This window comes from Homo sapiens, chromosome 7 (genome assembly GCF_000001405.40).
Source record: "Homo sapiens chromosome 7, GRCh38.p14 Primary Assembly".
Lineage (NCBI taxonomy): Eukaryota > Metazoa > Chordata > Mammalia > Primates > Hominidae > Homo > Homo sapiens.
The window spans coordinates 101,231,306-101,257,674 of NC_000007.14; the positions used below are offsets into that span (position 1 = coordinate 101,231,306).

General features: G+C 53.6%; 2 protein-coding genes across 3 annotated transcripts, besides 8 other annotated features; both read right to left on the reverse strand.

Moving 5' to 3' along the window:
* Positions 245-1,166: an enhancer, noted in NCBI's record as "H3K27ac-H3K4me1 hESC enhancer chr7:100874831-100875752 (GRCh37/hg19 assembly coordinates)". NCBI's record gives its function as "activates a minimal SCP1, AML or CMV promoter by ChIP-STARR-seq in naive H9 embryonic stem cells {active_cell/tissue: H9 hESC(naive)}" and the evidence as "EXISTENCE:reporter gene assay evidence [ECO:0000049][PMID:30033119]".
* Positions 789-7,515, reverse strand: CLDN15 (claudin 15). 2 transcript variants are annotated; one of them, NM_001185080.2, is made up of 6 exons: positions 6,633-7,515; positions 6,060-6,519; positions 2,973-3,137; positions 1,528-1,609; positions 1,299-1,415; positions 789-1,210 (listed from the first exon to the last, which is right to left on the reverse strand). In NM_001185080.2, exons 2-6 carry the CDS (start codon positions 6,274-6,276, stop codon positions 1,105-1,107), a joined length of 687 nt encoding a protein of 228 aa, NP_001172009.1. In that variant the 5' UTR covers positions 6,277-6,519; positions 6,633-7,515; the 3' UTR covers positions 789-1,104. The 2 variants fall into 2 exon arrangements, with proteins under 2 accessions (NP_001172009.1, NP_055158.1); NM_014343.3 differs by lacking the exon at positions 6,633-7,515 and having other exon boundaries at positions 6,060-6,497.
* Positions 7,516-8,166: 651 nt separating this feature from the next.
* On the reverse strand, positions 8,167-13,776 carry FIS1 (fission, mitochondrial 1). The gene is made up of 5 exons (NM_016068.3): positions 13,655-13,776; positions 12,702-12,834; positions 9,525-9,601; positions 8,837-8,942; positions 8,167-8,598 (listed from the first exon to the last, which is right to left on the reverse strand). Exons 1-5 carry the CDS (start codon positions 13,697-13,699, stop codon positions 8,501-8,503), a joined length of 459 nt encoding a protein of 152 aa, NP_057152.2. The 5' UTR covers positions 13,700-13,776; the 3' UTR covers positions 8,167-8,500.
* Positions 8,615-9,158: an enhancer, noted in NCBI's record as "H3K4me1 hESC enhancer chr7:100883201-100883744 (GRCh37/hg19 assembly coordinates)". NCBI's record gives its function as "activates a minimal SCP1, AML or CMV promoter by ChIP-STARR-seq in primed H9 embryonic stem cells {active_cell/tissue: H9 hESC(primed)}" and the evidence as "EXISTENCE:reporter gene assay evidence [ECO:0000049][PMID:30033119]".
* Positions 13,420-13,469: an enhancer, noted in NCBI's record as "active region_26402". NCBI's record gives its function as "activates an Ori minimal core promoter by ATAC-STARR-seq in GM12878 lymphoblastoid cells {active_cell/tissue: GM12878}" and the evidence as "EXISTENCE:reporter gene assay evidence [ECO:0000049][PMID:35858748]".
* Positions 13,560-13,799: an enhancer, noted in NCBI's record as "active region_26403". NCBI's record gives its function as "activates an Ori minimal core promoter by ATAC-STARR-seq in GM12878 lymphoblastoid cells {active_cell/tissue: GM12878}" and the evidence as "EXISTENCE:reporter gene assay evidence [ECO:0000049][PMID:35858748]".
* Positions 19,105-19,244: an enhancer, noted in NCBI's record as "active region_26404". NCBI's record gives its function as "activates an Ori minimal core promoter by ATAC-STARR-seq in GM12878 lymphoblastoid cells {active_cell/tissue: GM12878}" and the evidence as "EXISTENCE:reporter gene assay evidence [ECO:0000049][PMID:35858748]".
* Positions 19,303-20,256: an enhancer, noted in NCBI's record as "H3K27ac-H3K4me1 hESC enhancer chr7:100893889-100894842 (GRCh37/hg19 assembly coordinates)". NCBI's record gives its function as "activates a minimal SCP1, AML or CMV promoter by ChIP-STARR-seq in naive H9 embryonic stem cells {active_cell/tissue: H9 hESC(naive)}" and the evidence as "EXISTENCE:reporter gene assay evidence [ECO:0000049][PMID:30033119]".
* Positions 20,685-21,084: an enhancer, noted in NCBI's record as "active region_26405". NCBI's record gives its function as "activates an Ori minimal core promoter by ATAC-STARR-seq in GM12878 lymphoblastoid cells {active_cell/tissue: GM12878}" and the evidence as "EXISTENCE:reporter gene assay evidence [ECO:0000049][PMID:35858748]".
* Positions 21,125-21,254: a silencer, noted in NCBI's record as "silent region_18482". NCBI's record gives its function as "represses an Ori minimal core promoter by ATAC-STARR-seq in GM12878 lymphoblastoid cells {active_cell/tissue: GM12878}" and the evidence as "EXISTENCE:reporter gene assay evidence [ECO:0000049][PMID:35858748]".

A 26,369-nucleotide genomic window follows, 5' to 3' on the forward strand; every position in this document is an offset into this window, starting at 1 on the left:
CCCTCCCACCTTGGCCTCCTGAGTAGCTGGGACTACAGTAACGCACCACCATGCCCAGCTAATTTTTGTATTTTTTTTTTTTAGTAGAGAAGGGGTTTCACCATGTTGGCCAGGGTGGTCTTAAACTCCTGACCTTAAGTGATCCTCCTCGCCACCCCCCCTCCCCCGCCTCAGCCTCCCAAAGTGCTGGGATTACAGGCATGAGCCACCACACCTGGCCTCACTGTCTCATCTTAAGCGGGTGCAGCTCTGTGCTTAGCACCCACTGGGCCTGCAGCAAACCCACCCACAACCCAGAACCGTGTCTCAGCCGGACACCACCGAGGTGCACACATACCCACCGACAGACCTCCAGAGGCTCTTCTGGAAGGTACTGTACCTTCCCCGGAGAAAGTCTCTGCACCATTCCCAAGTTAATGTTAAACAGAATTTCAAAAGGCTTATCACTCCTGATAACCATCCATGCTCAGGCCCAGGGCACGCAGCTCTGCTCTAGACTGGCCATGGAGAGTGAAAGGAGCAGCTTGGGGTCTCAGGCTGGCCAGGGGCCATCTCTGCTATTTCCAGTTTCCTGCAGCCGGGACTTCCGGGATCTGCTCCTTGGTGACTCTTACCAGCAATTATGTGCCACTGGCGAAATCACTTGCAACCCCTCTTCTATTTTGCTGTACAACACAGCCCCAAAGTGGTGGACAGGGTGGCAGTCTGGGGTCCCAGACCTGAACCGACCCCTGGCACCACCCCTCACCCCTTGCTTGGCCGGCCGCTTCTGACACCTTCAAGCCCTGAACGGTCACAATATGCATTTATTAATGAATGTATTTATACACAATACAAACGTGCGGGGACACCGTCCCCTTCACAGCCCAGAACCCAGGGTCAGAAGATGAGGGATCCAGCCTCAGAGGGGAGATATGCGACTTCCCAAGAGCAGTTCTTGGCCTGGAGGGGCCATGAGAGTGCAAGACACGGGGCCGTGGCCGGGGCGGGGCTACGGGAGCGGGGCGTGGCCGGCCCCTGAGGTTACTATAGGGGAATGGGCCCCGGCCAGGTCCCCTCTCCTTGGGGCAGTGGGAAGACAGCGGGGCCCACGGGCCAGAGCTGCTACACGTAGGCGTTTCTGCCGTATTTGCCAAAGCTGCTGTCGCCTTCTTGGTCCGAGGTGGCGACGGGCATCACGGACACTGGAGCCTGGTAGGGCCGCCGGGCGCTGCGGGGAGGGCCCGGGGTCAGAGCGGGGGCGCGGCCCTCCTCTCTCCAATCCCGCCCGGCCCCAGCCTGCGCCTCACCCTGCTCACCTGGCGGCTGGGTCCTCGTCAGAGCCGCAGCAGCAGGCGGAGCAGAGGCAGAGGCCACCCAGGATGGAGATCAGTGAGGCGCTCCACCCCAGGTAGAGGGCGGGGCCCAGCTCGTACCTGCGCACAAGGGCGGCGCGGGGGCGGGGGACAAGTGAGACGCCAGCCGGGGGGCAGGGCTGAGTCCCACCCGCTGCCCCGAGGGCGGGGGGTGGGGGGTTTCCTCACTCACTTGGTTCCGGGGTACAAGGGGTCGAAGAAGTCCCGGGTGATGTTGAAGGCGTACCAGGAGATGGCCACCATCCCGCAGATACCTGGGGACCGGAGGACGACCCCAGTCCAGTCCAGGGGGAGGGATAGTGGGGGAGGGGGCTTAGGGGAGAGGCAGGCAGGGGCTGCCCAGAGTAGGACGGGGGCACCAAGTCCCAGAGCAGCAATTTCACTCAATTCCTTTCTCCCCACCCCAGTTTATAAGCCTTCCTCCTTCCTGGGGTCAACTTCTCAGGGTAGCCCTTAGGCCCCAAGTCCAGCCCACCCAGCTCATCTCACACTACCTCAACCTCCTCCTGCCTCTTCTCTCTTTGGTCCCAGATCTACCTAGTTCATGCCCACCTCTAGGGCCTTCATCCCATCATCTCCTCACCCAGATGGAGCCCCATCCAAATCCCGCCCACCCTTGAAACCTTGAAAACCCAGCTGGGCCATGGGAGTCCAGGGTCGTCCTTTCCTGAAGCCAGGCAGACCCCCGGGCTAGCACCACCCTACTCACTGGGGGCTTGTCCTCTTGCAAGCCACCTGACCTTTCTGGGCCTGTTTTACCTCTGGAAAACAAGCAATACCCACCCTACCTCAAAGGCTTATTGTGAGGCAATGGGTACAGAAATGTTCTGCAAATTGAAAAGCAATGGCCAGATGGCATTGTTTTTGTTTTTTGCTGAGACGGGTTCTCACTATGCTGCCCAGGCTAGTCTGGAACTCCTGGGCTCAAGGCAGTTCTCCTGCCTTGGCCATTTTTTTTTTGACAGTCTCACTCTTTCACCCAGGCTGGAATGCAGTGGCACAATCTTGGCTTACTACAACTTCTGCCTCCCAGGTTCAGGTGATTCTCCTGCCTCAGCCTCCAAGTCAGTGGGACTACAGGTGCCTGCCACCACGCCTGGCTAATTTTTTTTTTTTTTTTTTTTTTTTTTTTTTGGTATTTTTAGTAGAGACAGGGTTTCACCATGTTGGCCAGGCTGGTTTTGAACTCCTGACCTCAAGTAATCCACCCACCTCAGCCTACCAAAGTGCTGGGATTACAGGCATGAGCCACCATGCCCCGTGGTATGGCACTGTGGACGTGCACTGTGTGTGTGCGCCATAGCGTGCACCCTAACTCTGCTCCCCAGCTAGGATGTAAGCTCCCGGAGGCAGCCGCTCACTCTTATCTTCGAAGTCCCTCCCACACCTGGCCGTGGCCAGCCCCTACTGGGAGCTCAAGAAACACTGCCGATGGGCTGATTTGCAGCCAGGAGATCTGGGGAGTACAGATGAGGCAGGGGTGAGCAGGTGTCCATGCAGCAGGGTAGGGGAGGTGAGCATGAGGAGTGGGAATTGGAGAGGAGATTAGATGAGGACAAAGCAGCCTGAAGTCTGCGGTTGAGGGGGACCCCCGCCCCATCACCTTCCCCCAGTTACCGGCCAGAATGTGGAGGGCCCCTGCGGTGGCCGCCAGCTTGGCTTTCCTGGAGAGCTCCAGGCCCCCAATGTTGGTGCAGCGCAGGCCCGCTATGCCTAGCAAGAGGCCGAGGAAGCCCAGGAGGATGGCGGTGATCATGAGTGCCCGGCAGGCCTGAATATACCCTGGGGGTGGGCACAGTTGTCAGCCTTTCCCATCTCCCCTCTGCGACGGAGCCAGCCCAACAGCCCCTCACCATCCCAGGTTCAAGTGATTCTCCTGCCTCAGCCTCCCCAGTAGCTGGGATTACAGACACGCACCACCACGCCCGGCTAATTTTTCTGTTTTTAGTAGAGACAGGGTTTCACCATGTTGTCCAGGCTGGTCTCGAACTCCTGACCCCAAATGATCTGCTTGCCTCGGCCTCCTGAAGTGCTGGGATTACAGGCATGAGCCACTGTGCCAGGCCCCCCTCACCTTCTTGCTCTCTTGTACCTAACAGTCCCCACATCCTCTCCTTCCCCTGGGCTCCTCCAGCCTACCCAGTTGCAGTCACCCTTCCCTCCTTAGGCATCTGGGCCCCTCCCACCCTGCTCCCCACTCCTCCCATGCACCTGGCACGCTTTGCTTGTGCCTGGATTACAGGCTTTCTCCTGGGCACTCTTGACACCTGAGCTGGGCAACTCTATTCTGGGGGCCGTCCTGTGTACTGTGGGATGTTCAGAAGCCTCCCTGACCTCTACCCACGGGGTGCCAGTAGCAACCCCCTCCCCACAAGCTGTGACAATCATTGTGCAAAGTCGCCCGGCTGAGAACAACTGCCCTATCAGGTTGCTCTCACGTTGCTGGGTATACAGAAACCACAGCTAAGCATCGCTGTCGCCTTCCCCACGTCTGATTCCACTCCAAGTCCTTCACTGTCCTAGCCCAGTGCTGGACATTTTGACCTTGGTTTCTTCCTGGAGTAACAGGTAGGGGGCAGCGGTGCTGTACAGCAGAGGGCCTAGGGCAGTTTTAGAGACAGGGTCTTGCTTTGTCGCCCAGGCCAGAGGACAGTGGCGCCACTACAGCTCATCACTGTAGCCTTGATTGAACTCCTGGATGCAGGCGATCCTCCTGCCTCAGCCTCCTGAGTAGCTCAGGTTACAGGTGTGGACCACCACACCCGGTGGAGTTTCTGACCTAGGTGGAATCCTGGGCCCAGGACCGATCCAGGTCAGTCTAGCTCAGTCTTTCAGTGCCTCAGTTTCCCTTTTCTCAGAGCTGGAGGCTGCGGGCTCCCTCTTGCTTCCCCCTTCTCCTCCCTTCTCTGTCTTTGATAGTTGCCAAGCATTCCAAGGACCTTGCACCCCTTTCCCGGGTGGGGCATAACTGTTGGTGCTGAAGGGGAAAGGCTGGGTCCCTGCCAGGAGATGCAGGGTGCAGAGTCGGGGGGTAGGCAGGAGGGACAAAGTTCTCTGGGAGCACTTTCTTCCTCCCAGCCACTCCCTCTGGGGCTGACACGAGTCTGAGTCCCCAGGTGGCTCTAGCAGTCAATGGAGAGATTATGGAAGAGCCCAGGGGCACATGGGCTGCGTGGCCAGGGGCTGGGGTGCACGGTTGGGAGACGCAGTCAGGTCCCTCTCCCAGGACCACCCCAGCCGTGGAGTCTGAATGCCGGCTCCCCTCTCCTGCCTGTGTGATTCAGGGTGGGGTGCTGCACCTTGCTTCTGTAAAAGTTTCCCCCTACTTCCCCACTGTGGAAAAATGTAGGCAGAAGCACCTAGCCCAAGGCCCGGAACCTGGTCACCCTCTACCCCTGTGCCCTGGGGACTCTGGCACCATCTTTCATGCAGTTGCCAGGGGTGCCCCTCTCAGGTGTGCAGGCTCACAGCAGAGCCCCCTCCTCACAGCATGATGTGTCTGGGAAGTGGGTGTAGGGGCTGCCTCCAGTGTCCCTTCTGGACACTCAGAACTCTGGGGTTCTGGCCCAAGTTGTACTCAGCTTTTATAGGGTTTTTTTTGGGGGGGGGGCCCGCCGGCCCTGCATACAGTCAGTCCTAGAGAGATGGATGAAAACAGGAAGCCTCTGCCGCTGCCTCAGGAGGGGCTGGGAGTAGTGGGGGCACAGGAGACCCACCCAGGCCCCCTAACTGCTCAGAGCAGCTCCAACATCCCCGGGGGTGAGCTCTCAAGCCCCGCTTCACAGCCAGTGTCGCCCTCGGCTCCTTCCCTGCCACACGGTGCCTGGTGAGTGGACTGGCCCTGAAGGACCCAGGAGGGCGTGCAGCGGCACCACACACAGTTCACGGTCGCCAGCGCTCAGTCTCTGGCATAGGGCAGACGGAAGGGAGACTGCCCCGGAGAAACAATGGGGCGGCCTCATCTTAGCGGGGAGCAGGGAGCGGGAAGGTGCCGCAGCCACAGAAAGAACTGCCCTGGGCCCAAAGAGCTGTTGGCTCCAGCCCTCTAAGACCCCAGAAAGACACTGTCCTGGAAGCCCCACACACCTGCACACACACCGCCTCCTTACAGCGGACGCTCAACCTGCAACTTGCAAGACGCCTCCCTTCACAGGGGCCCTTTATAGACATCAGCCGGACAAGGAGACCAGTGCCCCCCGACAGTGAGGCTGGGGAGTCTGTGGAGCCTGGAAGTTGATCAACCTCTAAGAATCCAAGATGGGGCCTCCTCCCCCTGCCCACCCCAGCAATCCCACCCCCAAAACATGCTCAACCGTACTGAGTGCCTATGTGTGTTAACATCACGCTAACATTCTGCACTTTCTCAGTCACCTGTGAACTGGGACTCTCACCCTAACCCTACAGGTGGGAGATGAAGCTGGTTTCATCATTTGCCCACAGCACAGGGCTGGGAAAGGGGGTCTGATTCTGGTGCCTGCACCTGTAACAGCTAAAAGCGCCACACTAGCGCAGGGGGCCACGTGTGGCAAGGTCTTCACTCCAGTTCTAGGCATGGGCCGCCCCCAGCACTCCTGGCTGCGGGAACTCAGACCCGCAGAGCTTAATTCAGGGCTCCCTGCATCCTCACGGAAGTACCCGCCCTCCCCTGGGGTCTCTGCAGCTTCCCCGCCGCCCTCTCTCCCTGGAGCGCTCCCCACCCCATACCAGAGAGGGCCAGCATGGACGGGAACTCCCAGCAGTTGTAGACGCCCAGGGAGTCGGTGGCACAGCTAAACCAGAGGTTCTCGAAGATGGTGTTGGTGGTGATGACGTTCCCGTGCACAGTGGACACTCGCCAGTAGCTGTTTGGCAGAGTCACCCCCAGCATCAGCAGCCCCACAGTTGCCATGAAGAAGCCAAAGGTTTCCACAGCCATCGACATGGTGGGATGCAGGACCCTGGGGGGCTGGTGCCCCAGAGAGGGGGAGGGGCAGAACCCCTAGGGAACTGGAAGGGGCTGCGGCTAAGGAGGGTTGTCCAGGCAGGCTGGGGTGGAATCAGCCTCAGCCTCTGCCTGCCTCTTCCTCGGGCTCAGGTCCGTCTCCACTTTCTGCCTCCCTCCTGCTCTGTGGGTCTCTCTGCTTCCTGGCAGGTCAGAGGAATGAGCTAAGCCTGCGCGCGGCAGCTGTTGACGAGATGGAGGGAATAACCGAAACGGGCCAAAAGTCCACCCCCTCCCCCCAGCCTCTGGGCTGCCCCGGGCTCCCCGCCCCACGAGGGTGGGGGGGGCAGACTTACCCTGGAGCCACTGACGGATACAGCCAAGGAGGGGCCCCCAAGGGAGGCACTGGGAACTGAGGGGAAGCGTCTGTCTCTGACTCAGCTTTCATTGGGGGCCAAAGAACGGAGTAAGAGGGACAAGGAGTGAAAAGATGACAGAGACAGACGTGAGAGCAATAAGGGACAGAGACGGAGAGAGAATGAACAGCAGCCTTCAGTGGTGAAGGACGGAGGAACCACGAGAACAATCTAAGATACTCAGACCAAGGGGTTGGGGCGTATGAGTCTCTTAAGGAAGATCAAGCTGGAATGAGGGGATGGGAGGGTAGGAGACCCACAGCTCTGGGCTCCATCCAGCCTGGAATGGAACTCGGCCCCACCATCCATTCACCAGGGAACTCAGGCGGGGAGTTTTAGTCCCCTGAGCTTCTGCTCTGTCAGTGACATACCCGACTGCTTACTGCAGGGGCTGTGGTGAGAACTGGGACCAGGGGCCGGGCGCAGTGGCTCTCGCCTGTAATCCTACCACTTTGGGAGGCTGGGCTGAGACGATTGCTTGAACTCAGGAGTTCAAGACCAGCCTGGGCAACACACTGAGACCTCGTTGGGACCAGGGAGTCAAGCCCCCCACACATAACCAGCGCTTGGCACCGGGAACTGTCCTGGATGTGAGTGTCACAGGGCTGAGGCCACCAGGGAGTCGCTCTCACCCAAAACTCAAATTTCCTCCTAAGTTGATCTTTGACTCAGCATCGAGCCTGGTCCTGCTGGCCAACAGCCTGGAGCGTGATCCTGTGGCTAAGCTCTGCAACCTGTTCCCAGTTATCAGGGACTGTCACCCACTCTATTCGTTAATGATGATGGATTAGCAGCCTCTGGTCCCCATCCCGAGCCAGTGCAGAGCACCTGTCCCAGAGCAGACACTCTCATCTCCTGCTCCGGTTCCCTAGGGCTCTGTCCCTGGGGGCCATCAGCGCTGGCTGCGCACCTCCCTGGCCCCACGGCCCTGCTGGGCTTCTCCGGCCTCCCCTCAGGTGTCTCCTCCCTACTCCTGTGCTGGCCTGGGCTGTGGAACGAGAGGTATGCGGTGAAGCAAAACAGGCCCATGCCGAGCCTGGCACGAGGGGGCGAAGCTGGCTAGGTGGGGCTGAGTCCTGACCTTCCAGCCCACAGGCGAGAGCTGGGGCTCCCTGGGCTCTGACCTCTCCCGGGACCCCCGCCTACTCCATGCCAGATGCAGGATTCCTTCCCCTACTGGGCTCCCCCTCCCCCAGAGGAGGAGGTAGGAGGAAGGGGAGGCCACAGGAAGACAAAGGGAGGGGAGGGTGGGGAGGAGGAAGCCAAGGGGGCCTGCTGTGGAAAACTCCACAGAAGTAGCTGAGTGGGTCAGAGGAGAATGCAGGCCTGAAGCCCGGCCTGGCCCCGAAGTTCTGCCCGCCCATGCTCAGGTCACTGCCTTCTCCCAGGACTCTGGGACCATGGAAAAGCCCCATGTCTCCGAGCTGCCCGGCACTCTCAAGGACATGGCTTCAGGAAAGGGAGGAAGGAAGGGTGTGGGCTCTGGGCTGCGGGGTGGACAAAGAACCCCGTGCCAACCTGGAGGGCAGGGGCAGGAGAGGACCAGGAGTGACGTCTCCGCCCCCTGTGCCCAGCGTTCAGAACCCACCCCTCCCCTCAACGCAGACACGGGGGTTCCCAAGCCACAGCCCCGTTTTATTTACACTCATCCCAAAGCACATGATGGGGCTGAAGGACGAATCTCAGGGGAGCAGAAATTAGCTGAAGGCCACAGAGGATAGAGACGGGGGGCAGGGGGAGAACAGGGAAAGGACAGCGAGGATGGACAGGCCCTCCTGGAGCGTTCTCCGTGGGCTCCCGCGTCTCCTTCAGGATTTGGACTTGGACACAGCAAGTCCGATGAGTCCGGCCAGTCCCGCCACACCCAGGGCCATGCCTCCCACGATGGCCATGCCCACGAGTCCATCTGGGGAAGGAAAGGGACAGTGTCAGGAGCCCGGCCCCTGCGGAAACCCTGACCGTCCCCTTCCGCCAGCCCTGCCCCTCAACAGAGGCACACCCCTACCTGGAGTCGCAGGGCAAGGGGCTCTAAGAACTGGAAGGGGTGGGGCTGAGGGGCTGCCTGGAGGGGTTCATTTACAGAGAGACCAAAGTGCCCAGGCGTGGGGAAGAGCGGGGCTGAACAAAGGGGCCGAGGCTGTCACCTTTCTTCATGGCCTTGTCAATGAGCCGCTCCAGTTCCTTGGCCTGGTTGTTCTGGGGCTCTGTCTGCAGCAACCCGCGGACGTACTTTAAGGCCTTCTCGTATTCCTGCGCTCGGGGAAACGCGCACGCGTCATACACACCGCAGTGTTTTTTTGTTTGTTTGTTTTTTAATAAGAGACGGGGTCTTGCTCTGTTGCCCACGCTGGACGGCAGCGTCGCAATCACAGCCCACTGCAACCTCAAACTCCCAGGCTCAAGCAGTCCTCCCGCCTCAGCCTCCTGAGTAGCCGGGATTACAGGCGTGAGCCACTGGGCCGGCTACACCTCAGTATCCACCACTCCCCCTGCCCACGTGAAGGGCCTTCCCTTCTTCAGCCCTGGGGGCTCCTCCCTCGACCTCCACCCACTCCCTCCCTCCAGCCCCACCCCACGGAGTAGAGTCCACAAACAACCCCAACTCTGCGGGAGATAACAGCGCAAGGCTTGGGCCTGCACCCAGTCTCTTGACGTCACCTTCCTCCCCACCCCCTCGCCACTCTGATCTTCCCTCGGAGTCCTCATCTGACACCGCTCTGCACCTCTGCACCCCTTCAGCCTTCCCGCTGTCCAGGGCTCCACCCTGGAGGACACAGTAAGAAGGTCCTGCAGCCCCAGAGGAGGGTGAAGGGAACGGGGTCCCCACCTCACCTTGAGCCGGTAGTTCCCCACGGCCAGGTAGAAGACGTAATCCCGCTGTTCCTCCTTGCTCCCTTTGGGCAGCAGCTCTGGGGAGGGGCAGAGAAGAGGGTGAGAAATGCTTCTTTCCTAATACTTTCCTAATACTGTGTCCCAGAGGCCCCTTCCACTCTCTGAATGCCTCTGTGATCCTGGGAGGGTCACAGTCCTAAGCCTCCCTTTCAGCTCCAGTCACTCCCAGCACCCTAGCCAGAGCTCTGGGACAGGGTGAACCCCAGCTGTGCCAACACCCCAGTGACAGAACATGCCTTTTATCAGTATTACAGTCAACTGGTCCATCCAACTGAAATGAGGAAATCGGGGCCCTGGAGAAGCCAAAGGCAGCGTGACTCAGTTTTGGCATCTGCTGTGGTATTTTTTTTCAGACGGAGTTTCACTCGTCGCCCAGGCTGCGGTGCAATGGCGTGATCTCGGCTCACTGCAACCTTCGCCTCCTGGGTTCAAGCGATTCTCCTGCCTCGGTTTCCCGAGCAGCTGGAATTACAGGTGCCCGCCACCACGCCTGGCTAATTTTTGTATTTTCAGTAGAGATGGAGTTTCACCATGTTGGCCAGGCTGGTCTCAAACTCCTGACCTCAAGTGATCTGCCTGCCCTGGCCTCCCAAAGTGCTGCCGTTGTGGTTTTAACTAAACTGCCTGCTGTACAATTATTGTTTAAAAAAAAAAAAGTTAGGACTCCCTCCCCCTTTAAAAAAATCAGCTCAAAACTCACCTTCAATCAGCCTTCCCCGAAGACCCCACCTGACTTTGTCTTCCTTCCTTTTTTTTTTTTTTTTTTTTTTTTTTAAAGAGACAGGGTGGGCCGTGAGCCGTAGCTCATGACTATAATCCCAGCACTTTGGGAAGCTGAGCCGGGCGGATCACCTGAGGTCGGGAGTTTGAGACCAGCCTGACCAACATGGAGAAACCCCGTCTCTACTAAAAATACAAAATTAGCCGGGCGTGTTGGCACATGCCTGTAATCCCAGCTGTTCGGGAGGCTGGGGCAGCAGAATTGCTTGAATGCGGTAGGCAGAGGTTGCGGTGAGCCAAGATTGCACCATTGCACACTCAGTCTCGGGAAAAAAAAAACAAAAAACGGAGACAGGGTCTCGCTCTGTCACTCCAGTCTGGAGCACAGTAGCATGTCCATGGCTCACTGCAGCCTCAAACTCCTGGGGTCAGTGATCCTCCTGCCTCAGCCTCCCAAGTAGCTGGGACTATAAGCACACACCACCATGCCTGGCTAATTTAAACATCTTTGTTACACAGACAGGCCAGGTGGTCTCAAATTCCTGACTTCAAGCCATCCTCTGGCCTTGGCCTCCCAAAGTGCTGAGATTACAGGCATGAGCCACAGTGCCTGGCCCCACCTGACTTTCTTAATTCAGAGACTTCCCAGAGGATAACTGTACTGTATGCACTAGAATTTGTTGCTAAATAATTCTGCAGGTGTTTATAAATCTTCCTGTCTGTACTGTTTTCTCAACTAGACTGGCAACACTTAGAGAGGCTGTTTCTTCTACACCTACACCCTGCTGTAGAATAAACCTGAAAATCTGAATTGCCGAAGTAGACAAACATAGGGTAAAATTATTTGTATCTTTTAAGAAAGAGTCTTATTTTTATAGTTTTTTTTTTTTTTTTTTTGAGACGGAGTCTCACTGTGTTGCCCAGGCTGGAGTGCAATGGCGTGATCTTGGCTCACTGCAACCTCTGTCTCCCGAGTTCAAGTGATTCTCCTGCCTCAGCCTACTGCGTAGCTGGGATTAAAGGTGTGCGCCACCAGGCCCAGCTAATTTTTGTATTTTTAGTAGAGACAGGGTTTCACCATGTTGATTAGGCTGGTCTCGAACCCCTGACCTCGTGATCCGCCTGCCCTGGCCTCCCAAGGTGCTGGGATTACAGGTGTGAGCCACTGTGCCTGGCCATTTTTATAGATTTTCAATAGGCATCCTTTGCTAACACAGTCAGCATTCTGTATTCATAGATTCAACGAACCATGGATCAAAAATACTCAGAAAAAAAAAAAAGATAGTTGCATCTGTATTGAACATGAACAGACCTTTTTTTCTTGCCATTATTCCCTAAACAATACAGTATACTATTTACACAGCATTTACATTGTATTTGGTATTATAAGTAATCTACAGATGATTTAAAGTATATGGGAGAAGGTGCACAGGTTACATGTAAATACCATGCGATTTTATATACGGGACTTGGGTGGCTATTGGTATCTGTGGGGGTGGGGTTCCTAGAACCAATCCCCCATGGCTACAGAGGGATGGCTGTACACTGACTGTGTGCTTATAAATGATTATTTGAACACAAGGAGCTACAGAGAAACTAAGTGGTTAAGTATTGTGGCCTCTGACAAATGATGACCCACCTAAAACCAATAGGAAATAGGGTTCCCATCCAAAAAGCACTATCTGGCTGGACGAGGTGGCTCACACCTGTAATCCCAACACTGTGGGAGGCCGAGGTGGGCAGATCACCTGAGGTCAGGAGTTAGAGACCAGCCTGACCAACATGGTGAAACCCTATCTCTACAAAAAATACAAAAATTAGCTGGGCGTGGTAGTGGGCACCTGTAATCCCAGCTACTCAGGATGTTGATGCAGGAGAATTGCTTGAACCGGGAGGTGGTGGTTGCAGTGAGCTGAGACAGCGCCACTGTACTCCAGCCTGGGGGACAGAGCAAGACTCCGTCTCAAACAAAAACAAAAAACAAAAAGCACTATCTGCTCACAATTTTGTAGGACAGTCCTCTGTACCTCTTCCATGCCACAAAAGATTCTCAATAGCTGCTAAGCAACACGGTGGTGGTGTTGGGGGGAAGGGCATGGGCCTAGGTCTCACAAAACAGGAGCTTCTAGTCCCAATTCAGCCATTAACTGATTAGTTGGGTGACCTCAAGTCACTTTCCCAGATCAAGACAGTCCTGGGGGAACTGACATGCTACACTCTGTCTGGCAAAACAATGGTGGGCGGTAAGTAGCCAAAAGTTCACTGGGAGACGTCAAGCTAAGTATAGCCCTTGGTGCAGTAAATCTACCGGAGACAACTCAGAGGTGCCTGGACTACGGGGCCCACATCGCAGAGCAGCCCAGATGGCAGCGGGAAAGGGAGAGTACAGCGCCTCACCCTCGAGCAGCACGATGCCTTTACGGATGTCATCATTGTACTTGCTCCGCACCAGGCACCAGGCGTACTCAAACTGCGTGCTCTTGGACACCGAGCCTGCTGCCTTCTCAGACTGAAATTTCTTTTCAAACTTCTGCCACAGGGGAGGAAAGGAATCATTTAGAAATGTAGGGCGTCAACCATTCTCTATCTGGACATGCCATCTCCCTGGCTCTGCCCCTTTCCCTCGCAGGTCTCGGTATCTGGCACCCCAGCTTCTGCTATCTCCATGCCCGGGACCCAGGCTTTCGGCTCCTCCGGGCCTGCGGGCCAGCTCTTGGGACAGAGGCCCCCGGTCTCCCCTCCCCGCGGCGGTACCGAGCGGAGATGCCACCTGGTGGCAGCTCCAGGCACCGCTCCCGGAGCAGCTGACCCCGGCGGCCGAACAGTAAACACGCTGTCAGAACTGCTCAACAGCCCACGCGGTCCTCATTTGAGGCTGCTGGCCCCATCCTGCCCCACCCTGCCGGGCCTGGACCTTTTATTGTCCAGGAATAGAAGTAGTGCCTACCTCCTAGAGCTACAAAGACTGAGATCTGGCATGCGATGCCTTAGCACCGTGCCGGACGCAGTAATAGGTGACACCTTATGATGGTCACTGTATTCCTCCACCGCTGGAGGAGCGCCCTGAGCTCACAGCTCCTGCATGATCCCAGATCCCGTCAGTCTAACCACGGTCGGGCTCCAGGCCCGTAGTCTGAGGTGTGGGGGGCTCAGGACACTACAACTCCCAGGAGCCTCTGCGGCATAGCAGGCCCTCCGGGCAGGAGCCAGGCGCTGTGGAGGCTGCCGGGAGCCGTAGTTCGGCTTCCCTCGGCCAAGCCGATGCCGGGAGGAGGGTTCGGCCCCTACCTGACTCTCCTCAGGACCCGCCCTCCGACCTTCCCTTTCCCTCTGTCCGGGCCAGGCCTCACCAGCAGGTCCTCCACAGACACCAGCTCGTTCAGCACGGCCTCCATGGCCACTGCCCCCGCGAGCCTCACACTACAGTCTACTGTGCCACAGTCTCCATGGCCCAGTGGCAGGGGCGGAGAACCACTTCCGGCGTCCGGCGGATGCTGGCACGACCTGGCGACGCCCCGCCCCTTCCTCTCAGTTCAGCAGCGCCGGCGGGGCGCTAGTGCGCAGGCTCGGCCGGTCCCTCCAGCCCGCAGACTGCGCGCAGGGAGACCTTCCCCAGGTTGGTCTTCCCAGGTGCCTCAGCCGGTGCCTTCCTCTGTGGAGGCTTCCCTAGGGAAACTGGAGGCCATGTCTTGGCGGTTAGCCCCCAGGATGAAAACAGCAAAAAGAGGGTGGGTAGCTGACCAGAGATCACAGTACATTAGGGTGCCAAGCTGACGCCCCTCAGAAATCTAGGACCTTGGAGGCCACGTGACTATTCATCGCCTGCAACAAAATCTTAACTAGAACCGGGAGCCCGGCGCGTAGCTCACGTCCGAAGCCCAACAACTTGGGAGGCCGCGGCGGGAAGATCGCTGGAGGCCAGGAGTTCAAGACCAGCCTGAGCAACATAGCGAGACCCTATCTCTACAAAATTTTTAAAAAAATCAACCGGCGTGGTGGCGTGCACCTGTACTCCCAGCTACTGGGGCGGCTGAGGCAGGAGGATCGCTTGAGTCCGGGAGTTCGAGGCTGCAGTGAGTTATCGCGCCACTGCACTCCAGCTTGAGCGACAGAGACCTTGTCTCAAAAAACCCACCAACAGCAGCAAACTAGTATCGGGGTTTCTTGGGCCTCTGCTGACTCTCACAATGCAAGAGCAGAGGCAACTGGATCTGTAAACCACACAGCCACACAGGGGTAGTCATAGGAGACACTATCAACGGGAAGTTTTTCAAAAAGCAACGGCCCCATTATTGGCAGAGAAGGTCCAATTTTCAATATTATTTACATAAACCATTTTGGGAGTGCACCCCAGGCGGGAAACCTGCCACATGGGGTCACGGGCAATGGGGAGCTTAGCAGTGAGGAGCTATCAGAGCATGGGAAGGAGAAAGGTGTGGACACCTCTGGCTTCAGTTTCTGTGCAGTGAGGGGACTGGGTAAGTAGCAACTTTCAAATTCTTTTCCCCTTGAGTCACATTGGAGTGTAAGTTCCTTGAGGGCAGAGACTTACCTTGCTTATCCAGCATCTAGCACAGGGCTTGGCAGAGAGTGAGGGCTCAATAAATATTTGTTGAATAAACACGGAAAAAGCAAATTAATTGTAAACAAGGCACTGCACATGCAGGGGATAATCATCCAGACACCTTCCGCGTTTGCAAAGCCCCTTTAATTTTTATTATTTTTTAGAGACAGGGTCTCATTCTGTGGCCCAGGCTGGAGTGCATGCAGCGGCACAATCAGAGCTTACTGCAGCCTTGACCTCCTGAGCTCCTGTAATCCTCCTGCCTTAGTCTCCCAAGAAGCTGGGACTACAGGTGTGCACCACCACACCCAGGTTGTTTTTTGTTTTTTGTTTTTTTTTTCCGAGACAGTTTCTCGCTCTGTCACCCAGGCTGGAGCGCAGTGGCACAATCTCGGCTCACTGCAACCTCCGCCTCCTGGGTTCAAGCGATTCTCTTGCTTCAGCCTCCCAAGTAGCTGGGATTACAGGCGCCGGCCATCACACCCAGCTAATTTTTGTATTTTTAGCAGAGATGGGGTTTTACCATGTCAGCTAGGCTGGTCTGAAACTCTTGACCTCAGGTGATCAGACTGCCTCGGCCTCCCAAAGTGCTGGGATTACAGGCGTGAGCCACCGTGCCCAGCCAAGCCTCTAATATTTTTCTCCTCATAATAGTCTCGTGAGTTAGAAAGACAAGAGTTATTCTTCCCTATTTGGCGTGGATGGTTGAAATGACTGATACAGTAAGCTCTGTAAGCCTTGAGAGAATCCCCAGGTTGGGGAACTGGCTGCCCACTAGCATAAGCCTCAAGGGGAAAACTTCATGTTCATTCAGAGAAGTATACAGCACCTAATTTTGCCTGGGCCTTGGGGTGGCACAAAGGACACTAGGGCTGAGTGCAGTGGCTCACGCCTGTATTCCCAGCAGTTTGGGAGGCCAAAGCGGGTGGATCACCTGAGGTCAGGAGTTCGAGACCAGCCTGGCCAACATGATGAAATCCCATCTTTACTAAAAATACAAAAAATGCACCTCTGCCCAGCCGCTGTGCAACCTTCCAAGTGTGAAGTGACAGCCTTGTATGTGATCTTTCTGCCCTCCCCAAGTTTGCATTTTCAACATTAAAGTTTACTTTTTAATTAAAAAAAAAATATATATATATATATATGCACACAAAAAAAATTAGCCGGGTATGGTGGTGGGTGCCTGTAATCCCAGTTACTTGGGAGGCTGAGGCAGGAGAATCGCTTGAACCCAGGTGGTGGAGGCTGCAGTGAGCCGAGATCCCATCACTGCACTTCAACCTGGGTAACGAGAGCGAAACTCCATCTCTAAAAAAATAAAAAATAAAAAAGATGGACACGATATGAAGCAGGTGACTGAAAACAGGACTGAAGACGGGAGGCAAACACTGGCAGGGCAGGGGACACAGGAAGATGAAGGGGGCACTCCTTCTATTAGGAGGCTCCTTTTTGGGGGGCAGCCTGAACCACAGTCATGTTTATATTTGCTGCAGCCCTTGGTAGAGGCCTGGTGCATGGCAGAAGCACCATCAGGATTTGCTGAATGTCAACAAGGGATGAAGGGAGAGTGATTTACTCAGGTGGCTCAGTTGTGTGCCAATGAAGAGATCCGTAGTCTGTAGCTTTTCAAGTCTAGTTAGCATAGTCATCCACCTCCGACATAGTGATAGAAAGTAGTCCCTGTTAATTTTACACCCAATGGCTGAGCGCGGTGGCTCACGCCTGTAATCCCAGCACTTTGGGAGGCCGAGGCGGGCAGATCACGAGGTCAGGAGATCGAGACCATCCTGGCTAACATGGTGAAACCCCGTCTCTACCAAAAATACAAAAAAGAAATTAGCCGGGCGTGGTGGCGGGCGCCTGTAGTCCCAGCTACTCGGGAGGCTGAGGCAGGAGAATGGCGTGAACCCGGGAGGTGGAGCTTGCAGTGAGCCGAGATCACGCCACTGCACTCCAGCATGGGTGACAGAGCGAGACTCCGTCTGAAAAAAAAACCCTTTCATGCCTTCTCATTGCCCTTAAAACAAACACAGCCTTCAAGGTCCGTTAGGATCTAGCCATGCTTAATTCTCTTCCTCATCTATCACTACCTCTCCTGGTATGTACTATGTACACTGGCCCTATAGGCCTTCCTTCAGCTCTCAAACCCCTGGTGGCCACAGCTCCGCTACACAGGCAGTCCTCTCTGTTTGGAACATCTGTCTCCTCCTCCATTGCTTATTTGGCTCATTCATTCCCTCATGATTTAATTCATTCAAGAAATACTAATTGAGCTCCTGCTGTGTAGTAGGTGCTCAATTAGTTGCCTACAAATAGTAGCCTGGCACAGTGTAAGCCAAGGTGGAGCTTACATTTTCATGGGGAAAACAGAAAAAAATAACTCAACAAATAAAAGCACTGTGACATAATAAGACCTATATATTTGGGGCCAGGCCCGGTGGCTCATGCCTGTAATCCCAGCAGTTTGGGAGGCCGAGGCGGGCAGATCACCTGAGGGCGGGAGTTCGAGACCAGCCTGACCAACATGGTGAAACCCGTCTCTACTAAAAATATAAAAATTAGCCGGGCGTGGTGACAAGCACCTGTAATCTCAGCTATTGAGGAGGCTGAGGCAGGAGAATCGCTAGAACCCAGGAGGTGGAGGTTGCGGTGAGCACAGATCGCGCCATTGCACTCCAGCCGGGGCAATAAGAACGAACTCTGTCTCAAAAAAAAAAAATATATATATATATATATACATATATACATACACACACATATATATATTTGGTCTCTGCCCTGGTTCCCAACACAAAGGTCCTAAAATCCTTGTAATTTCCTGAGTGATAGAAGTAATAAGAGCATCTTTTTTTTTTTTTTTTTGGAGACAGCGTCTCACTCTGACCCCAGCTTTGACTGCAGTGGCGGGATCCTGGCTCACTGCAGCCTCGACCTCCCAAGTCAGGCGATTCTCCCACCTTGGCCTCCCAAGTAGCTGGGACCACAGGCACACACCACTACACCCGGCTAATTTTTGTATTTTTTTGTAGAGACGGGGTTTTGCCATGTTGTTCAGGCTGTTTTGTTGCCCAGGCTGGTCTGGAACTCCTGAGCTCAAGCAATCCGCCCGCCTTGGCCTCTCAAAGTCCTGGGATTACAGGTGTCAGCCACGGCGCCCGGCCAATAAGAGCATCTTACACAGAGCTCCAAAATCCCTTGCAACATCCTGAGTGACAGGAGTGCCTTTTCTTCTAATGAAGTGACTCGCTGGGCTCCTGGACAGCATCAGGATGAGGGCTGGTCACCAGGAAGACCAAGCCAGGATTTGAAGTTTAGCCTCTTAAGCTTGAACTTTTAGCCTCCCCCCTCATCCTTTGGGGAAGAGAGAGGAGCTGGAGATTGAGTTAATAATCGATCATGTCTACGTGATCAAGCTTACATAAAAAGCCCTTAACTTGGCTGGGCACAGTAGCTCACACCTGTAATCCCAGCACTTTGGGAGGCCGAGATGGGTGGATCATTTGAGGTCAGGAGTTCGAGACCAGCCTGGCCAATATGGTAAAACCCTGTCTCTACTAAAAATACAAACATTAGCCAGGCAAGGTGGAACGTGCCTGTACTCTCAGCTACTCGGGAGGCTGAGGCAGGAAAATCGCTTGAACCTGGGAGGTGGAGGCTGCAGTGAGCCGAGATTGCACCACTGCACTCCAGCCTGGGCGACAGAGCGAGATGCTGTCAAAACAAAACAAAACAAGGCAGGCGCAGTGGCTCACGCCTGTAATCCCAGCACTTTGGGAGGCCGAGGCGGGCGGATCACCTGAGGTTGGGACTTAGAGACCAGCCTGACCAACATGGAGAAACCCCGTCTCTATTAAAGATACAAAATTAGCCGGGCATGGTGGTGCATGCGTATAATCCCAGCTACTTGGGAGGCTGAGGCAGAAGAATCACTTGAACCTGAGAGGCGGAGGTTGTGGTGAGCCGAGATTGCGCCATTGCACTCCAGCCTGGGCAACAAGAGCGAAACGCTGTCTCAAAAAAAAGAAAAGAAAACAACACAAAACAAAACAGAACAAAAATTACTCCTCTGGGAAAATGATGAAAGAAAAAAAATGGAAGAAAAGGAAGACATGAAGATATTCATTCCTGCATTATCTGTGAAGGTAAACAAACAACAAAAATGCCAGGGAATGGTTTTATTAAATGATAATACATCAATATAATGGAATAATATACAGCCTTAAAGTCACAGTCACATGGATTCTATGCCTGTGGACAGTAATACTCAAAACAAAACAAAGAAGTATCTACTTCTCAAATTCAGACAGGTGGGTGAGCAGAAAGGAAACTGACATCTTAGGTTGGTGAGACTAAGACCTAGAACTGGTGTATATGGGCAGATTCTGGGCTCTGGACCCCTCCCTGGAGTACACCAGCAGCTGGGGCCTATTTTGCACTTCCCGCTTCAGCCTTTTGCACAAGAAGGGCTCAGCAAACACCCGCTGAACAGGATTCCATATTTGCGTTCTTCCAATTTTCAGTAATCTGTCTCCTCTACTTCCCAGTTCCATCTGCTATCCAGTTAGAAAGTCCTGTCAACTATCAATTAATTCATTCACCCATCAAAACATTTAAGAACCTACTATGTTTAGGAGGCTGAGGTGGGAGGATTGCTTGAGCTCAGAAGTTCGAGACCAGCCTGGGCAACACAGCGAGACCCCAACACTAAGTTAAAAATAAATACATAAAAATCTTACAAAAAGAACCTACCAGCCGGGCATGGTGGTTCATGCCTGTAATCCCAGCACTTTGGGAGGCTGAGGTGGGCGGATCACCTGAGGTCCGGAGTTCCAGACTAGCCTGGCCAACATGGTGAAACCCCATCTCTACTAAAAATACAAAAATTAGGCAAGCATGGTGGCGGGCACCTGTAATCCCAGCTACTTGGGAGGCTGAGGCAGGAGAATCGCTTGAAACCAGGAGGCGGAGGTTACAGTGGGCCCCAAGATCGTGCCATCGCACTCCAGCCTGAGCGACGAGAGAGACTCCATCTCAAAAAAAAAAAAAAAAAAAAAAAAGAACCTACCGTGTGCCAGGCCAGTCGCTCTTCTAAGTGCTGGGTAAGACAAATGAACTAAAGAGGTAATAGTCCTTGCTCTCATGAGAGTTACATGTCAATGGAAGAGACACAAGACTGCTCACCAATAAACACATGTCAGGCCGTCCCTGCCTCGATTCTGTCACCATACCCAAACAGGCTGCATACTTTTCCTCCTCAACCCAACCTGGTTACCTGGTGTATTTCGAAGTGCAAATACAAGCTCATATGTCCAGATGAAAATACAGCCTAGGCCGGCCGTGGTGGCTCACGCCTGTAATCCCAGCATTTTGGGAAGCCGAGGCGGGAAGATCACTGGAGGTCAGGAGTTCGAGACCAGCCTGGCAAACATGGCGAAACCCCGTCTCTACTAAAAATACAAAAATTTGCTAGTTGTGGTGGCGCGCGCCTGTAATCCCAGCTACTCGGGAGGCTGAGGCAGGAGAATCGCTTGAACCCGGAAGGCGGAGGCTGCAGTGAGCCAAGATCTAGCCACTGCACTCCAACCTGGGTGACAGAGCTAGAATCTGTCTCACAAAAAAACAAAAACAAAAAAAGCCCCTAAAATACCGTCTAGGCTACTCAGGATCCTGTTTAAATTTCTTACCACGCACACGAAGCCCTCCAGGCCCGCCCCTGCTCACCTTTCCAGCTTCATCTCCAGGCACCCACGCACCCCGCACACGCAGATGTCTTCACGACAGCCACTTTTCTTCTGCTCGGAGCGTTCCTTCTACCCACCATGCCCGGTCAACAGATCCTCAACCACTAGACACCAGAGGTGTCTACACCGCAGGCTCGGCGAGGCTCGGGGACGGTCCCCTCCTCTACGCGGCCTCCCGTCCCTTCGGCTCCTAGGAGGCGCGGCATCCTGTACCTTGGAAAACAACGCTCTTCCAGTCCTACTGTCCTTTAGCTGGACACGGACCGTGCCTCGTTCATCTCTCTGACAAAGGCCGGGAACTCAAGAAATCATTTCTTGAGTGAATGAAAGAGTAACGGTAGGAGGTCCGAACAGAACGCTCAGAACCTCCGGGCGACTAGGCTTCCGGGTGTCGGTTTCGTTGGCTCCCGAGAGGGAGGAGGAAGCGCTTCTTCTGGGGCCGCTCTAGGAGGAGGACTCGGTGGGCTGGAGGACTCGGAGCAACGCTCAAGGCATCTGCGCAGGAGCCACCCTAGGCGGGGAGGCGGGGCCGAGCGAAGCCCGGTGCGGGGCACGGGGACCCCACTGGCCAATGAACGACTCAGCTCTGCAGGAGGGGCGCGGCGCCACGCCACCTGGAAGTGAAAGAGAATGTCCATCGCTTTTATCAGATTATTTTATTTTCAGAAGTTGTCATCTCGGGTACTAGGCTTAGTACCTGGGTGACGAAACCATCTGTACAACAAACTCCCGTGGCACAAGTTTATCTATATAACAAACCTGTACGTGTACCCTGAACCTAAAAGTTTTTAAAAAGTACTGATCGGCCGGGCGCGGTGGCTCACTCCTGTAATCCCAGCATTTTGGGAAGCCGAGGCGGGCGGATCACGAGGTCAAGAGTTCGAGACAAGCCTGACCAACATGGAGAAACCCCGTCTCTACTAAAAATACAAAATTAGCCGGGTGTGGTGGCGTATGCCTGTAGTCCCAGCTACTCGGGAGGCTGAGGCAGAGAATTGCTTGAAGTCGGGAGAAGGAGGTTGCAGTGAGCCGAGATCGCGCCACTGCACTGCAGCCTGGGCGACAGAGCAAGACTCTGTCTTAATAATAACAATAATAATGCATGAAAGAAAAGAATCAAGTATTATAGGTTGGGCACGATGGCTCCTGCCTGTAATGCCAGCACTTTGGGAGGCCAAGGTGGGGGTACCACTTGAGGCCAGGAGTTTGAGACCAGCCTGGGCAACATAGTGAAACCCCGTCTCCACAAAAAAATTACAAAAAATAAGCCAGACACGGTGGTGAATGCCTGTAGTCCCAGCTACTCGGGAAGATGAGATGGGAGCATTGCTTGAGCCCAGGAGTTCATGACTGGAGTGGGCAGAGATTGTGCCACCGCACTCCAGCCTGGGCAACACAGTGAGACCGTCTCAAGAAAAAAAGAAAGAAAGAAAGAAAAAGAAAGGAAGGAGGGAGGGAAGGAAGGAAGGGAGGGAGGGAGGGAGGGAAGGAAAGGAAAATAAAAGATCAAATAGGTATTAGCATGCTCCTTTCTTTTTTCTTTTTCTTTTTTTTTTTTTTTTTTTTGAAACAGAGTCTTGCTCTGTCTCCCAGGCTGGAGTGCAGTGGCATGATTTCAGCTCACTGCAACTTCTGCCTCCCGGGTTCAATCGATCTTCCTGCCTCAGCCTCCCAAGTAGCTGGGTTACAGGTGTGCACTACCACGCCCGGCTTATTTTTGTATTTTTAGTAGAGACGGGGTTTCACCATATTGGCCAGGCTGGTCTCGAACCCCTGACCTCAAGTGATCCTCCCGCCTCGGCCTCCCAAAGTGCTGGGATTACAGGCAAGAGCCACCGTGCCCAGCCAGCATGCTCCCTTTTTGCTAAGCTACACAAGGGAGTCCAGATGTATTCATTCATTCATTCGCCCGTTCATTTAGCAAATATTTATCCAATATGTGCAAATTATTGGTAGAAAAATGAGTCTAGAGTTGACTCAGGTCAGCTAAGGACAGCATTCCTACTCTACCTGCTACCTCACGTTCTAAAAGGTAACAGTTACAATTGTTATTTTTGATGGTGTCACTAGCACACTTAATGGCTTTATGCACAGTTTTTTGTTGTTTTTTGTGGTGTTGTTGTTTTGTTTTGTTTTGTTTTGAGATGGAGTCTCACTCTGTCGCCCAGGCTGGAGTGCAGTGGCTTGATCTCATCTCACTGCAACCTCCTCCTCTTGGGTTCAAGCTATTCTCCTGCCTCAGCCTCCTGAGTAGCTCCGATTACAGGTGCACGACACCACGTGCAGCTAATTTTTGTATTTTTGTAAAGATAGAGTTTCACCACGTTGGTGAGGCTGGTCTCAAACTCCTGACCTCGTGATCCACCCACCTCAGCCCCCCAAAGTGTTGGGATCACAGGTGTGAGCTACCGCGACAGGCCTTTTTTTTTTTTTCTTTTTGAGGCAGGTTCTTGCTCTGTCGCCCAGGCTGGAGTGCAGTGGCCCGATCACAGCCCACTGCAGATTCCACCTCCCAGGTTCAAGCAATCTTCCCGCCTTGGCCTCCTAAAGTGCTGGGATTCCAGGTGTGAGCCACTGTGCCTGGCCCAGAATTTAATTTATCATAGCAATGATGTAGAGTTGTGGTTGCAGTAGAAACGGTTTAGGAGGATTTAGCTCCCTGTAATCCTCATTAGCTTTCCCTTCCCAAAACCACCCCAAGTAATTAGATTATGGTCTTACTGATAATCTGAATACTTAGGGTGTAGACACAGCTTCACCCCCTTTCAACTACACTACTACCCCCAAGTCCCTCCTCTATAGCTATTCTAGAACTTTCACTGGTCTGCTCCCCTTTTTCCTCCATATCCTAGTTCCAAGCTTGTAAGTATCTAAGACACCCCATATTAGTCAGTTGTTTCAAGGTGATCACAAAGGAAACCTTGACTAGTTATCACCAAGAAATAGATCTGCAGTCTGGGCAACATAATGAGACTGTCTCTACAAAATATTAAAGAATTAGCCAGGTGTGGTGGCGTGCACCTATAGTCCCAGCTACTCGAAAGGCTGAGGTGGGAGGATTGCATGAGCCCGGGAGTTTCAGGCTGCAGTGAGCTATGATTGCACCATTGCACTCAGTCTGGGTGACCGAGCAAGACCCTTTCTCAAGAAGAAGGAGAAGCTGGCTGGGTGCAGTGGCTCATGCCTATAATCCCAACACTTTGGGAGGCCAAAGTGGGTGGCTTACCTGAGGTCAGGAGTTCGAGACCAGCCCGGACAACATGGTGAAATCCCATCTCTACTAAAAATACAAAACTTAGCTGGGCATGGTGGCACATGCCTGTAATCCCAGCTACTCTGGAGGCTGAGGCAGGAGAATTGCTCGAACCGGGGAGGCAGAGGTTGCAGTGAGCCGAGATCACCCCACTGCACTCCAGCCTGGGCAACAGAGTGAGACTCCGTCTCTAAATAAATAAATAAACAAACAAAAATGAGCTGGGTGTGGTGGTGGGCGCCTGTAGTCCCAGCTACTCTGGAGGCTGAGGCAGGAGAATCACTTGAGCCTGGGAGGTGGAGGTTGCAGTGAGCCGAGATCGTGCCACTGCACTCCAGCATGGGGCGACAGAGTGAGACTCCGTCTCAAAAAAAGAAGAAAAAGAAGAAATCAGTCTTCAGTAAAATCAACTGATCAGCACCACAAGAATAAACATGATAAGCATATCTGTTAACCAGAAAACTCAAAACTATTTTCACAGGATGTCTGTACATCACCTTATATTCAACACACAAATACTTTCTGTTGTTTACTCTGGAGTAAAGTTGTTATCAAAGACAAATCTCATCATGCTATATTGATACTCAGAAGGACTTTTCCCCTTAAGCTTGCGTCTAAAACTCCATGGATATCCAATCAATAGCTTCCTTTTTCATTGAATGGGGAATTGGTGATATTTACATTTTCTATTGTTTCTACATGTGAGACTGGGAATGAGAAGATGCCGAATGGAAAGGAGGAAGGTTTTGCAGAAGTGAAATCACTGTCTGGATGTGACTCACACCCATAATCTAATCCCGGCTCTTTGGGAGGCTGAGGCAGCAGGATAGCTTGAGCTCAGGAGTTCCAGACCTGCCTGGGCGACATAGCAAGACTCGGCATCTATTTATGTATTTTAAAAATTGTGGTAGAGAAAAATTCCATGACTGTGATAAATGTGGGAAAACCTTCAACCACAATCCAAACTATAAACAAATTTGTGTGTGTGTATATATATATATATCATTTTTTTTTTTTTTTGAGACAGAGTCTCCATCTATCACCCAGGCTGGAGTGCAGTGGTGCGATCTCGGCTCACTGCAACCTCCACCTCCCAGGTTCAAGCGATTCTCCTGCCTCAGCCTCCTGAGTAGCAAGCACCACCATGCCTGGCTAATTTTTGTATTTTTAGTAGAGATGGGGTTTCACCATGCTGGCCAGGCTGGTCTTGACCACCTGACCTTGTGAACCGCCCACCTCGGCCTCCCAAAGTGCTGGGATTACAGGTGTGAGCCACTGCGCCTGGCCAAATTTGTATAATTAATACAAGAGAGAAACGTACTTAATGTGGAAAAGCTTTCAGGGAAAATGAATACTCATTTGGTATATGATAATTTACATTGGGGCGACTACTCACATCTTTGAGTGTTTTGAATATGGGAAGTCTTTTGTTCAAGCCTCACGCTGCATTCAGTTTCAGGGAATTCACCTTAGAGAGAAACCAGGTGGCTGGAAAGGGAGTGGAAACATCTTCAGGCAGGCCTCCAGGCTTCTTAGGCACCAGGAATTCACAGCAGAGAGAGAGGCCCTGTGAGTTGGAGGCTTTCAATCAGTGCTCAAACCGGGGGCCACATTGGTTATTCATACCAGGAGACAAACCATACAAGCATAGCACAGGTGGGAATGCATTCTGGAAACATATAAAACTGGCCAGGCGCGGTGGCTCATGCCTGTAATCCCAGCACTTTGGGAGGCTGAGGCGGGTGGATCACGAGGTCAGGAGTTCAAGACCAGCCTGGCCAACGCAGCTAAACCCTGTCTCTACTAAAAATACAAAAATTAGGCAGGCATGGTGGCGCGTGCCTGTAATCCCAGTTACTCGGGAGGCTGAGGCAGGAGAATCGCTTGAACCCAGGAGGCAGAGGTTGTGGTGAGCCAAGATCACGCCACTGCACTTCAGCCTAGGCAACAGAGCGAGACTCCATCTCAAAAAAAAAAAAGGGTAAAACTTACTCAAAGCTGAGTGCATTGGTGTGTGCCTGTAGTCCCAGCTGCTCCAGAGGCTGAGGAAGGAAGATTTGCTTGAGTCTAGGATTTCGAGGCCAGCCTGGGCAACAGAGCAAGACCTGTTCCCTTAAAACAAAACAAAGCCAGGTGTGGTGGCTCATGCCTGTAATCCCAACACTTTGGGAGGCCGAGGCAGGCAGATCACTTGAGGCCAGGAGTTAAAGACCAGCCTGGCCAACATGGTGAAACCCTGTCTCTACAAAAAATATGAAAATTAGCCAGGCGTGGTGATGCACGCCTGTAATTCCAGCTACTCAGGAGGCTGAAGCACGAGAATCAGTTGAACCTGGGAGGGGGAGCTTGCAGTGAGCCAAGATCGTGCCACTGCACTTCAGCCTGGGCAATAGAGTGAGATGCTGTCTGAAAACAAAACAAAAAAGAGAGGCTGGGCAAGGTGGCTCATGCCTGCAATCTCGGCACTTTGGGAGGGTGAGGTGGGAGGATCGCTTCAACTCAGGAAC